Here is a 15,223-nt window from a genome sequence, read left to right on the forward strand (position 1 = left end):
TTTTTTTCTTTTTGAGACAGAGTCTCGCTCTGTTGCCTAGGCTGGAGTGTGATGGTGCAATCTTGGCTCACTGCAACCTCCACCTCCTGTGTTCAAGGGATTCTCCTGCCTCAGCCTCCCCAGTAGCTGGGATTAGAGGCATGCGGCAACATGCCCAGCTAATTGTGTATTTTTAGTAGAGATGGGGTTTCACCATGTTGGCCAGGCTGGTCTGGAACTCCTGACCTTAGGTGATCCACCCTCCTTGGCCTCCCAAAGTGCTGGGATTACAGGCATGAGCCACTGCGCCTGGCCTCAGTTGCCTTTTGAAACCCACCACAGAGAGGAAGATGTGTTCTTCTTGAGGAATAGGACTCAACACAGGGGCAAAGTTAATGACTACAGGGCTGGGTGGGTAATTAAAGAGTGAGGAAAGTGAGGAATAATATTTTTTAAAAATCAGTTCACAGCAGGGACCAGGGCCAGCTGGAAGCCACATTCTGTCCGTCTAAAGGGAACCACTTTTTCTCAGCTCCGGGAAACAGTTGGCCCAGAGTTAAACAACCCTTACGTTGCCAGCTCTTCTGATTTTTTTTTAAAAGAGAAAGTAAAAAAAAAAAAAAAAATTTTAGTAAATTTACCTTTTTCCCTAAATGTTAGAAGCAAATTAAGTTTTTTTTAAAAACAAAACCAAAAACAAACAAAAACACCGTAAGGGCCAAGATTGTGGGGGCTAAACCAAACACCACTTTGGGCTGCCAGTGTGCAGCTTCTAAAAGGAGAAAGGATGTGAGCCCTGAGGTTGAACGGCCTTCTTATCTCAGTTCCCTACTGCCTGTAAAAATCTGTGAACCTGGGATACTTGCCTTTCCAAGTCTCAGATGCCTCGTACACAAGAGGTAGACAATGATAGTTTTGTCTCAGAGCATTGTAATGTTTACTAATATATGTATAGTAGCATCTATTTTATTATTTAAAAAAAAAGACTTTCATATTGGAGGCAGCTTAGAGGCAGAACTGTGGAGGCTGGAATCAACATCAGTTTGACCAGTCAGGGCTAAGCAGGTAACTGGAAGTACAAAAAGGCCCTTGAAAGTGGTCATCTTTACCTGGCAGTATATGAGTGGGACATTTGACTCTGGAACTAACGGAAAAACAAGGAGGGGAGAAAAAGAAAAACTAGAGGTGATAACTGGTGAGAAATAGTGTTTCTTAGAGTTAGAGCCATTAGACCGTGATACTTTAGTTTCTAAGGAGAAAACCAGAATGGAGAGAAAAAGTAGTGCATTCTCTCATGCCAAGCAGGTTCCATGCTTTATATCTTTAGTGGTATTGTCCAGCACACATTCTACTTGGTTGGGGTGGAGGGACTGGGGTGGGTGGGGGGTGGTGTGGGTGAGAAAGAGAGGCAGGCCTTGGTTTCTGTTTCCTACCCCCACCCCCATCCACCCAGCCCTACGGTGTAAGGAGAATAGTGATTGGTCATTGCTTAGACTTCCAGATAATAATTAGAAGAAGAGTTTTAAGTTCTTATGGTCTGTTCTATATCAGATCTTGTGCTTATACCTGATACATATTAGGTGCTTAACTCTGAAGGTAAATATCAGTTCCATTTTACTTGTGAGGGAACTGAGGTTCAGCACAGTTCAAGATGGTACTCTGGTTCACACAAAGCTCAATGACAGAGCTCATATACCAATCTCAGTCTTTTTGAAGCTTCACACTGTATAAAACTGTCTCCCATCAGTGAGGGGAAGGGAAAGTTTGAGGTGCTGCTGGGGCCTCTTTGTCTTTAAGCCCTTGAAGGACATGGATTCTGTAAGTTAGGGGGGCATCTCAAACCAACTATGTTTTATGTCAGTATTCAGGATTGAATACGGCATCACATTGTCCTGAGGCTGATAAATCCTGAGGAATTAGCCTTCAGGTCATTCAGGACATTCTCTTCCTGGGCTGTCTTCAGCCATGTTTTTACTCAGCTTTCTTCCCCAAACCCCTTTGTTTGGAGCAGGATAGACTACTATTCCATATACTCATCCCTGTATTTCACAGTGCATTTTTCCTTTGAAGAGAGCAAAGCTTGTGGAAGTCCTAGCCTGAAGCTTGGTTTGGGGAAGAGATTGGTAGGTAGATTTGGAATGTCAAAAGTGTTTTCCTCGATTGTGTAGGAAGTATGATGCTAGGATGATATTTTATAAATGGTAGTAATAACAGTAACTATTGAAAAGAAGAAAAAGAAAAAGGCAAGTTAGTTTGATACATCTACCAATTCTTCTTGGCTGAAGAAAAAGCATCTAGGGACCAAAGGCTGATGTGATAGAACACTGATATGGGGGAGGTGAAGGAGTCTTAGAGGGAAGCCTAGTCCACCAGGTAAGCAATGAAATAAGTTATTTTTCAGAGCACTGTAGGGAACTGGAATCCATGCCTTATCTCTGAAGGATACAATGTACTGGACGGAGTTCTTGGCAATGATGCCCATAGGATTTTACTTCATAGGTGGGAGCAAGGCCTCGACAAACAAAACAGATAACCATATAACACAAAGATACAAGTGCTATCAAGGTAGTTAATAAGTGGTCATCATGTCCTTATTGACATGACATCAGACTGAAGGGATAGTCCTCTTCCTCAGTCTAAAAGGAGTGTAGAAAGTACCATATCTGGGACTTGTAACCTACTCTCAACCTCCATCCATCCTCCATCCCCTCCTTGACACCAATATGTCATTATCTTTCCTTCTCTCTCTAACCTTTTATCTTCCTGTCTTCCATCTGCTACCTTGTTTTCCTTTCCTCTCTCATCCAAGTGGCCAATGAATCTTTTTGGTTCTTCCTCCTGTATATATCTCCATAAATCTCTTCCCTTCTATCTATTCCTCATGCTACTAGGTTTCTCTTTTTCAATCCCTCCTACTTCACCTAGTGTTAAGTACCGCCTTGGTAGCATTCTTTTCCCCCTAAATCTGACATGAAGCTCTGCCATCCATTGATGAAGGCTGAACTCCTTGATGTACAATGCCCCTTAGACATTTTTCCATGCCTAAACCACAGACCAATTTTTTTGTCACTCTATTCCATAAGCCCTGAAGTCCTTACTTCAGAAACTTCTGGAGGAAACCCTAATAAATTGTATTCATTATTGAAGGATTTCATTTCTTTCTTTTTTTTTTTTTGAGACGGAGTTTTGCTTTTTTTGCCCAGGCTGATGTGCAGTGGTGCTATCTTGGCTCACTGCAACCTCCGCCTCCTGGGTTCAAACGATTCTCCTGCCTCAGCCTCCCGAATACCTGGGATTACAGGTGCATTCCAGCATGCCTGGCTAATTTTGTATATTTAGTAGAGACAGGGTTTCACCATGTTGGGCCAGGCTGGTTTTGAACCCCTGACCTCCAGTAATTCACCCACCTCAGCCTCCCAAATTGCTGGGATTACAGGTATGAGCCACCACTCCTGGCCGGACTTCATAATTTTTAAATTTTCTTTAGGGATTTGGGGATCTCTATTAAGCTTGATTTGAAACACAAATTACCTCTTAGGAATATATATTCTGCTCTTACACATTTCTCCTATCTTCCATAATGTTAATAACTTTAAAACACCCCAATAACTTAATCCATCATTAGCAAAGACCTGTTTGGTAGTGTTTCCAAGAACCATGCCTGTTTGATGTATTGTCCCACACTTAGTTGTGACAGTCCTGTGAGGCATTATGTCACTCAATGTTTTCACTCCAGAATAATAAATTGGAGAAATGAGACATCTGCCTGCAGTTTATTCCAGTTATATCTTTTCCTCCCTGAAAAGGAAATGGCAACATTTCTAAAATGAGAAAGCTAGGTCAGCTTGATTCTTCAAAAAGCTACCCACAGATCCATGTGACAATCACATCATTTTTTGTGTCTTAGTATAGTTGATTAAAACAAAAACAAATTTATCCCTTTCCTTGTAAAGGTGTTATATTAATTAACCAAAGAGAAAATGGAAACTGCTTATGAGTCAGGCACTACACTAGCTCCAGGGGCACAGGGATGGTAGACTGAGTCCTCCACGGAGGTGGTGGAGTAGAGTGGTTGGTTAAGAGTATGAACTTTGGGCTCAAGTCCTGCTTCTCTTATTTACCAAGTGTGTGTCCTTGAGTATGTGACCTGGGCCTAAGTCTTAATTTCTTCAGCTGAAGAAATGAAAATGATTGTGGTAATATCTCATAGGGTTGGGCTCGATGAAATGAGTTAATACATGCAAAGTACCTGGCATATGTAATAAACTTTTAGTGAATAGTAACAATTTATTTTGTTTAATATGGTAGACAAGTATATAGGCTATTACAATAAAGTAAATATTTTAATATTAGAGATGAACATAGCACATGGTCGCTATAGACACCCTTCTCTAATTAGATGGTTAGATACTCAAAAGTAGCTCATGGATCCCATCGATGTCATAGGAGTGCCTAATGTTTGAGTGCTTACAGAATGCTAGGAAATGTGTAATTCTCACAATAAGTTTAAAAAATTATTGACACATAATATTTGTACATATTTATGGAGTACATGTGATATTTTGTGACATGCATGTGACAAGAACATGTATTTGGAGTATTTATCACCTCAAGTATTTGTCATTTCTACATGTTAGGAACATTTTAAGCTTCTAACTATTTTAAAATATATGGTATGTTATTGTTAACTATAATCACCCCATTCTGCTATTGAACATTAGAACTTATTCCCTCTAACTGTATGTTTCACAATGAGTTTTTAAGGTAGGTGCTATTGCTGTCTGTTTCACAAAGAATCTGAGAACACAGAGAGGTTGAGTAGCTTGTACAATATTCCCCAGCTTCCTGCAAGGCTCAGGCAAGGTCTCCAGGAAAAGGGATGCCTACTGGACATATCAGTAAATCCCTGTATACATGACAAGCAGTAATTGGGTAAATATGAGCATAGGAGGCAAGTTGCCTGCTGTCAAGGGGGTAAAGGGATATGATTAAGGAGTGGAGGGTCATGGAGATAGAGAAGAGAGAAAGAGACCCATACTGGGTCTGTGGGGGTTGGGATAAGATGACTACTTGATTAGAAACTCCTTTAGAATGAGACTTGCTTTATTCTTCTTTCTTATGACACATAGGGGGTATTAGAGCATTTTGTATAAAGTAGTTGTCAGTAAATTAACGTAGAAAAATAATCAGTGAAATATTACTTGTTATAGCCAGTAGATTCAGAAGAAAGGACAAGAACCAACCCACATAAGCATTATGTTGTAAGAACTTGGATTATAAAATCACTAGTGTCTCTGTCAAGAGATGTTGACTGTGTCAGGGGACAATTCTTTGTAGTGAAGAAGCTGGAAGAATCAACTTAGAATCACTGTAGATTATAATTTTTTAATGAAAGAAGACTGGAAAACAGGCAGAGTAGAGTCTCCTAAACTTAAAGGATTGAAAGCAGGCAAGACAGAGTATACGGTGGTGTTTCACTTTGAACACTTTTGCCACCAGTGCTCTAGTGACATTTGTCACAAGCAGCCTTGCTGAACAATGTTAACCAACTTGGGTAACATTCTCAAACATGGTCTAACTCAGTAAAAATTTTATCTCATGAGTTGTCTGACACTGAAGACAGGCTACTTAGTCACCTTGCAGCATTTCAAACTTTTTAGCAGGCTTTGTTTGGTAGTGCACAGACCCTGTCTTGATGACTTGCTACCTGAATGAATGCACCTTGCAAAGGAGCACCATTCACCAAGACACTGGGATGATGGTTATTCACACCTGCTTGAGGCTCTGCTCCTAGAGGCAGATGTGACTGCAATATCCAACTCCACCCATGACACCAAGCTTTTAGGTGAAAAGAACAGGCATTATCATCCTTATTCTCCATTTGAAGAGACTGAGTCTTGAAGCGGTTAACCGAGGTGTCTTGGGTCACACAGTCAGTGGAAGGCCAGGATATAAACTTCAGTCATCTGAACGAAGGCCCAGTACTCCCTCTCCTCCAAAGTTCCTTCTGCAGAGCAATCATGGGGGTTGTTTCAAAAACCAAAATCTCTTCCCAGGTCAAAATCCAGAGAACCTACAGAAATGTGGATGGCATGTGCTCTATGGGAATTAAATGAATTATTAGGATTGTGTAATTATTAATAAATAGCCCTGCAGAGTCCATCTAATTCCTGGATCCAATATACTAAATACAGAATGCCTGAATCTATTCTACATAATGAGCCATATATGGTTTACTACACACACTTGTATTGTAAGCTATAAACTATTCTACTTGGGCTGCTGTGCCAAAATGCCACAGGCTGGGTGGCTTGAACAGCAGAAACTTATTTTCTCACAGTCTGGGGCTGGAAGTTGATGATCAAGGTGTCTACAGGACTTGTTTCCTCTGGTTTATTCTTTGGTTTACAGATGACCGCCTTCTCACATGATAATTTTCCTTGGGCACACACTGTGTCTTATTCTCCTCTTATAAATACAAGGGTTCCACTCCTACTGGATTAGGACTTGCTCAAATGATTGCATTTTACCTTAACTACCTCTTTAAAGGACCAATCTCCAAATACAGCCACATTTTGAGGTATTGGGTATTAGGACTTCCACACAGGAATTTTGCAGGTAGTGCAGTTTAGTCCATAATAGCTGTATATTGTGGTTTCTATTTTCTTTTCTTTCTTTTTTATTTTCTCCCAATCTATCTCTGGTTTCTCTTCCCTAAGGAAATTCTGATGATTATTAGCAAGTCTATACACTTAAAGGAGTAGTTATGGTTTTCTCTGGACCAGCATTGTCAATAGAAATATAATGTGAACCATGAAAGTAACTTTAACTTTTCTAGTAGCCACGCTAAAAATAAAAATAGGCGGAATAAATTTTAATAATATATTGTATTTGGCCCAGTATACTCCAAACATTATCGTTTCAACATGTAATCAGTATAAAAATTAGGGAAACTATTTTACTTTCTTTGTACTACATCTTCAAAATCTGGCGTGTGTTTTCTGCTACAGCCCATCTCAATTTGGACTCGACACATTTCAAGCGCTCCAAAGCCACGTGTGATAAGTGGCTGTCATTTTGAAGGCCTAGACTCTCATCTTTGGGTCTCACATGACTGCCTGCTTCAAGCTTTGCTAACTACGTCTTAATCTTTACTTGTGTACTTGCTGAAAGCAAGCTCTCACCCCAACACTCTCATCAGTGGATTTCAATGGAAGACATAGGTACTCTTAAATGTGCTCTAAAAAGTATCCAACTATAGCCTGTTTCTCTCCTGGTCTCAAACTTAAATCTCAAAGGAAGCAATAGGTCATGCAAATGTGTGAATTTGGCTACAGGTAAGATGAAAGAAATGCTTGGACCTGTGAGGAATTTGAACGTGGGCCCTGCTTAAATTCAAAATTAAAAACCAGAACCAAAAAAGCATCGCGCCAGTCCAAAATATTTTTTAGGACAGTATTTAACCCCAAGATAATCCAACTGACATGACTGTGTTCTCTTTGGTACCTGAATTATTTCACAGGAGCAACATTTTATTTAAGCAAAACAAATGAGTATTTTATGTGAAACCTTTCTTGATTGCAGGTATCACTGTCTATTATTATCTATTGATGTATTCCTTGCTCATTGATAATAGTGTCTTAATGTTCTATGCCATACGCCATACTATTATGCCAGCCTCACCTTCTGGTATCAGTAGCTTGGGGCATTGCCATTTAAATTCATGATTACAGTATTCCCGTTACACCATATGTTAAAATACATAGACTGGACATCATCCTGTGGGTAATGCTATATTTTCCTTCCTTAAGTACGGTGAGAGTTTTTATCTTGGTGACAAACAAAAATGGGAAAGGTCTTTTTCCCTGGATGAAAAGGTTTTATCCATGTGACCTCGTGGGGGAGTTCTTTCTTAGCATTTAGGAAAATTAGCTGAGTGGAAGGCTAAGTTATCTCCTGCATTCTCCTGTCCCAGCTTGTACTCTTTGCCTTATTATCAGTGTGACAATAAACTAGTGGGAAAAATCTGTGTTTGGTCACAGCCAGAGGTGAGTGGCTGGTTATTATATTTTCTCATTTGGGAAACAATTCATTGTAGCCCTCGAGACAGGGATGTGTTTTTATTTCTCTCCCTCTCTCCAGCTTGCTTTCCCCTGTTTCTCTGCAGTAATCAGTGCATAGTTCCTTAAGCTACATTAGGTTTAAAATGCCATATTTTCAGGGAAAGCATCTAGCAAATTAAGAGGTTAAAAAATCTGCCTTTCCCTCCCCTATGTATTATATAAAAAGCTTGTTTTGCCAAATTCGTGTTTTTGTGCTCTGATAAGTTTCCTCATTATTAAAGCCCACCATCAATGGCTAATCAACTCTCCCACAGGGAACATTTGCATATTGTACAAAAGGGGAAAACTCCAGTCAAACAAGGAAGTAAATTTGGCATCTTTAGGCAAACCCTTAACATGAATTTTTAAAAGACTGTGTGTGTATGGAAGTTGGGGCAACAGGTTGATCAAATGAGGACTCTGATTGCTTAATCTATTTTCTTCTAATACAAGCTTGGGCCATCTAGTTATTGGAATAGATCATGAAAATGGAAAAAAGAGAAGAAAGCACAAATGCTTCATGTTATACATCTGTTCCTTATTGCTTACAGCTCCAGGCAGCCTTAAGAATCAACTTTTATTAACTCCCTATTAGAGGACCATTTCCCTTATGATTTGATTATTAGAAAGAATATATTTGAAATCTACATTTCCATATAGATAGAACCACTCTGTTTTTATGGCCCTGATGCACCCTTAAATACTCACAAAGGGACTCAATCTGCATTTCCTCAGTTGATTGTTTACGAGAAAGAAATGTGAACAAAATCCACTGAGCTAAGAGAGACAGGGTCCAGGTTAGGGAATGATGAATGGCAAACATTGGCTATCTTGAGCCTCATTAGATAAAAGAAGTATTTTTATTTTCTTTGTCCTCGACAAGCACATCAATTAAGGGAAAATTACTCTTTGATTTTTTCTCTCTTTTCTCCATTCAAGGAAATATGTATTTTCTCTCTTCCCTCTTCTTCTCTCCTTTTTGCCACTTAATATACATACTAAGGATGCACAAACTCCTGCAAAAGTCCTGCTGACTATACAGGTTTAAGTGCTCATTATCCAATTCCATGCTGGCATTAATAATAGTTAACATGTACTGACCTACTGACCGTTTACTTTACGCCAGGCATTGAGAGTATTCCATCACTTAATCTTCACAACTACCTATGTGATAGGTGCTGCTATTATTATTCCCATCCACTAGACAAGGAACCTGTGGATTAGAGGGTCCAAGAAAATTGCCCAAGATTGTATATAGAGTTGATAAAGGATGAGCTGGGAATCAAATTTAGGAAGCATGAATCAGTAGTCCAGATTCTTAACCTTTCTGCTTTACTGCCTACAAAGTAGGTCCAAACCATGATCTCATTTGATTCCCACACCAAGCCTGTGAGACATTTATTATCATCATTCCCATTCTAAAGACATACTTAAGCTCAGGGTGGCACATCCCTTGGACACGTTCACTCAGCTGATAAGTGATAAATCTGCTGTTTTTCTGTTACTCGTGTTGTAAGATATTTTGGAGGAATAGGTAGGTATAGGTCCTGTCTGCAGGAAAGTGTGCAGACACTCCCAAGGGGACTCTAGGTCTCTCTGATATCTTTTATAGATATAGGACCCCAGAATGCACTTGAAGTTTAGAGTAACGTGTGAGGTGGAACTCTATGCAGACAGTGGATATCCTCACACCCCCTACCCCCCAACAAATTCTATATTTACTTGATTATGGTTGGAACATACTGCCTCTCTTGAGACATCCAGAATAACAAGTTGAGAATTGCTGCAATAATAGAACAAGGGGAAATTAATCCTTTCTAGCATTTTTCCTGTTTCAGCATGAAAACTTTGAGTTGAAGGTGCAATAATGAGTAGAAAAAAATTAGTTAAATACAATTATGTAACAGTAGAATTGCTCCAAATTGATTCTCTCCCCTCATTATTTTTTATTCCATTTTATCTTCCTAGGGAGTGCTCATTCAGGACAGAAGTCATCTTAAAGAATAGCAATAGGGTTTGTTTTTACAATTTGGGTTAACAGAGACAGTGATCCTGGTGGATTAAGATGTCTTTTTTTTTTTTTTTTTTTTTTTTAGAATTTCATTTTCACTGTGTGCTTCACAGGTGGGTATGCAATTATACAACTGCTGTGATCAAGTAAAAGCTGGGAGCTGGGCTCGGAGTGTGTGCTTCTCTCTAGTGAAGGGAAGACTTTTTTCCAGTAAAAATTCTGCTAATCATTTTATGAGTGATAATTCATAAGAGCTCAAAGGTGCATTAGAGGTAATATAGTTCAAATCCCTTACTCAGTAGATAAGTTAACTGATATTTAGAAAAATTGACTTTTCCAATCTCTTCTCAGGATGGGATTGTGAAACATGCAGGAAAGACCCAGGCTGGCTGGAAGTGGAGATAAAGGGAGAATATCAGATTGAAATAGGGAACATGTCCAGCCAGTTCTTCAAGCAGAGAAAGCCTAAAATAATATTAAGAACCTACATGTGGAAGAAAAGATGAGATCAGAGACATCAAGACTGAAAGAGTGGTTTGTGTAAAATTTCAAAAGCAATGGCATCCTCATGTATTCCCATAGCAGAATCAATTTGTCATGCCCGAGACTGAATGGACAAGACCCTAGATCGCCTTGTTTTCTACCTCCTTATGGTGCCAATATTGCAGAGTGTGTTGGGAGTGAGCCACGCAGGCTCTGGAGTCTTAAGTCCAACGTGGGATAAACTCTCCACTCTGCCGCTGTGACCTTGGGCATATTACTTGTCTTGGTTTTCTCAAATTTAAGTTAGTATAATACCTCATAGCATTGTGAAGATAAAATAATATATGAAAAGCATTTAGCATAGTTGCTGGCACAAAGTGAATTTGCCGTAAGTGATAGTTACTATGATTGCTGACTAAGATGGCACAGCTAGTGCTTTCTGTTTTTTTAGAGAGTGTGCTTCACTTCAACACTGATCTCCTTTCTGATCCCAGGAGCAGGCATTTGAGATGGCTGGCTGGGGACAGGATGCCATCAGGGATCTTTCTGGGTGAACGCTCTGGTTCCTACAGGAATTGGCTTTTGGCTTCACCATCAGCATGTTCTAACCAACTGAACACGTGGCCCAGATAAAAATCTGATTGTCAGCTGAAGTCACAGCTCAGAGTTGTGAAACTTAGTCCCAGTAGACACTTCTAGTTTGGTAGGAAAAACAGGATTTCTAGGCTAAGATTAGGCATAAGGCAAGCTAATGATGGGAAATTCTCACACCTTTTGTTTTGGGCATAGCCTTTTGTTTTGCCTGATCCATCAGTAAAAAACAACTGCATGGGCAAAAGGTGAATCATTTATATGAAAGAGTTGAGAATCCTTATTTAGAAATAGACCAGAGAGGAGAAAGTTGACATCACAGTACCATTGACTTACTAAAGAAAAATTTATGTAGAAATTATTCAAATTTAGAACTACCTGGTGTGGGAAGTTGGAGGGGATGTCCCAATTTTTTTTTTCAAATGCTGAGGTTAGGATGAGTGAGTGATTGAGGTAGTTTTAAGGGCCATAGGTATATGGAAAATACTTTTTGGAGCTTCAGTGAATATTTTGAAGCATGGCTTTTTGAACTCAAAGCTGCCATTAGGGTCCTTTTTTTTTTGTTTTGTTTTTTGTTTTTTTAGATGGAGTCTCCCTCTATTGCCCAGGCTGGACAGGCTGGAATGCAGTGGCATGATCTCAGGTCACTACAACCTCTACCTCCTGGGTTCAAGCAATTCTCCTGCCTCAGCCTCCTGAGTAGCTGGGATTACAGGTGCCTGCCACCACGCCTGACAAATTCTTGTATTTTTATTACAGACGGGGTTTCATCATGTTGGCCAGGGTGGTCTCAAACTCCTGAGCTCAGGTGATCCACTGACCTCAGCCTCCCAAAGTGCTGGGATTATAGGCATGGGCCACTGTGCCTGGCCTCTCTCTCAATTTTTTAATTTGTTTTATTTATGATTTTTATGCTCAGTGGAGTGGCTGGCTTGTAGTATGTGTTCAATAAATATTTATTAAACGAATGGATGCAGTTCTACAAGAGGCCCTTACAACACTAATACTAGCCGATATCTATTGGGAAACTACTATGTGTTAGGTTTTGAGTATTTCGTATACGTTAACTCATGCCATTCTCTCAACCACCATCGAAGATAGGCATTATTATTATCCCCATTTTATAGAGGAAATACAAAAAAATTAAATAAGTTATCAAAAGCCACCAGTTAGGAGGGAGGAGAGCCATGATTCAGACTCTAGCGATCTTGTCCCAGAGCTTTCTGTCTTTACCATTGAAGCTTCATTGTGGTCCTAAGGCTACTGTGATGAATAAGGGCAAGTCCCTGTTTTTAAGGGATACTCAAATTTAGGAGTAGACAAATATAAAACTATTCAAACAGCATGATGAAAGGTAGTGTAATTTATTAGGAGCTTAGGACTTGGAGTCAGAGAACTTGCTTCAACAAAGAGTGAAAGAATTTCACAGAAGGTTTGACAAATAAAAGTGAGAGGATAACGCCCCAATTTCATCTGATTGCTGTCCTTATAAGAAAGGGAAATTTGAACACACAGACACCAGGGATGCATGTGTGTGCACAGATGAAAGACAATGTAGCTGGGTGTGGTGGCGTATGCCTGTAATCCCAGCACACTGGCAGGCTGAAGCAGGTAGATCATGAGGTCAAGAGACTGAGACCATCCTGGCCAACATGGTGAAACCTGGTCTCTACTAAAAATACAAAAATTAGCTGGGCATAGTGGCGTGTAACTGTAGTCCCAGCTACTTGGGAGGCTGAGGCAGAAGAATCGCTTGAACCTGGGAGATGGAGGTTGCAGTGAGCCGAGATCGTGCCACTGCACTCCAGGCTGTGACAGAGTGAGACTCTGTCTTTTATTTATTTATTTATTTTTTGAGACAATGTGAGGATACTGTGAGAAGGCAGCCATCTACAAGCCAATAAGAGTAAGCCTCAGAAGAAACCAAACCTGCTGACGCCTTGATCTTGTAGTCCCAGCCTCTAAAACTGTGAGAAAGTAAATTTCTATAGTTTAAGACACCCAGTCTGTGGTTTTAGTTATGGAAGCCCTAGCAAACTAATACAGCCACTAAGAGGAGTAGTCATGATTCAGGTGTGTCTTAGTGTTGGTGTGTTCAGAAATGTGAATTCAGGGCTACCAGATTTGATAGTTTTTTTTTTTTTAATGCTGTAAATCTAGGAGTGTTTTGTCAGAAATATCCTGATTAAAAAATTTACGTTTAATATTAAATCCTTTTAACTCAAAGAAAATACCTGTATGTTATATTTGGCCCATAAGCCTTTAGTTGGGAACCTCTGATATAACTCATGTAGGCATCAGCTCAGGGTTTGGCACATAATGAGCTTTCCCTAAATTGTTATTAGACAGTGAAAAATGCTGCAATGGAGTAGACTCCAGAGGGACGCTAGATCATCCAGCTCTGGAGGTAAGGGTGGAAGGGAAAATTGGTGGCCTGGAAATGCCTTTGTAGGAGATAAAGCTCGAGTGGACACCTGAAGAATGATTTGTCATTGTCTAGGTAAGGGAGAGGGCAGCAAGAGAGTGCTTTCTAGGTAAAGGGAGCAGTTGTCAGTGGCCCTGAGAAAGAGGAAGTATGGCCTTTTGGTGAACTACAAGTTGTACAATATGTTTGGGGCATGGAGTTAAAAATGGGGGGTGATGATGCTTGAGGGAGGGAGGGAAAATGAGGGCCAAATTGTTAAACTTTATCGAGAGAGCAAGGGGAGTAATTGAGTTTGAAGCAAAGCAAAGGTAGATTAGATTTGCCTTTTAGGAAGACTGCCCTGGAAATAATGTGAAGGCTGAATTAGAAGTGGTCAGGGTGAAGGAAGGGAAACCAGTTCGCATGCAACGCAAGAGATGATGGTGGTTTGAACTTAAATAATGGCAGTAGAAACAGAGGACATATTTGAGAAATGCCTAAGAGGGAGAATTGACTTGTGATTGGTTGGGTGTGGAGTGAGGGAGAGAATGAATTAAAGATGACTTTCTGTCTTCTTTGGACAATGGACTGGAATAATATGTCCTTCCCTGAGCTACAGAGCACAGAACGTCTGTAAGCCAAAGGGCAGATGAATTTAGTTTTACATATGCTAAGTTTGAAGTACCTGTTGGTGATGGAGAAGCTTGTATTTAAAAGCAAGAGATCTGGGCTTGAGATATACATTTGGTATTTACCAGTGGATAGATAATAACAGAGGTCCTGGGAATATTTGGAGTTGGAAGAGATGAGGGCTGAAAGAGGAAGCAAAGTTGGAGAAGGAGACCCTTGATAAGTTAAATTGAACTCCTGACCTTGCTCTGTCTCAAAACTTCTCTCATTCTGCTTGTATCTGTAGCTAAGATTTGAAATTCTCCATTAAAGCAAAGATAGTCATGTCCTATAATGGAGATTTCTAAAGAACGAGGCATCCATTACCTTATATACAAATAAATTATTAAGGTAGTAAGCAAGTAGCTTCGTCAAGGTCAGTGGGAGACTCAGGATGACTTTCTATTGCATATATGCTGTGTGGCATATTCAACATGTTAATATCATAAATGCCATTTAGAGATGTAGATAATATGAACTCTAAAGTAATACTTAGGATCACTTTGGAAAAAAGGAAATAATCTTGCTAAAGATAAGAGGGAAATAATAATTTATGACTATTTACACACTGTTAGTACATAAACAATAAATAAAATCCTTGCAAGCATACAAACAAAGAATTGCTGCTCTTCAGATCCCAAGCCCTAGAACAAGGTTAGTAACTCCTTTCTCACGGGCATTGCAAAACATAATTACCTGAGCTTTGTAATTCTTTAAGATCTGAGCTTAAATCAGACATGCTACTGAAGGATCTTATATATCCAGTTATATAACAAGCACACATCACAATTTGTTGTCTTCATTTTAGCAAGAATATGAGCATTAGAAGAAGCCCGTCAAGGAAAGAGAGCTGAAAATAGAATGATAAATGCGTGACAAATCCAAAGAAGAAGAACGTCTAAGAGAACTTTGTCTACCTATATGAGCATCTTTAAGGTGTTAATTTCCTGCATCAGTAGGATTGCCTCTAAAGACACATGGTTC

General features: G+C 39.7%; 1 long non-coding RNA gene across 5 annotated transcripts in view, besides 1 other annotated feature; it reads left to right on the plus strand.

Moving 5' to 3' along the window:
• Nucleotides 1-15,223, plus strand: part of LOC105379364 (uncharacterized) — a 535,736-nt gene that overhangs the window by 259,886 nt on the left and 260,627 nt on the right. The gene's annotated exons all lie outside the window — the stretch shown is intronic.
• Nucleotides 1,428-1,597: an enhancer, noted in NCBI's record as "experimental_103242 CRE fragment used in MPRA reporter constructs". NCBI's record gives its function as "activates a minimal promoter by MPRAs in K562 erythroleukemia cells, with activity observed for both the introgressed and non-introgressed 8:33841298 variant alleles {active_cell/tissue: K562}" and the evidence as "EXISTENCE:reporter gene assay evidence [ECO:0000049][PMID:34662402]".

This window comes from Homo sapiens, chromosome 8, assembly GCF_000001405.40.
Source record: "Homo sapiens chromosome 8, GRCh38.p14 Primary Assembly".
Lineage (NCBI taxonomy): Eukaryota > Metazoa > Chordata > Mammalia > Primates > Hominidae > Homo > Homo sapiens.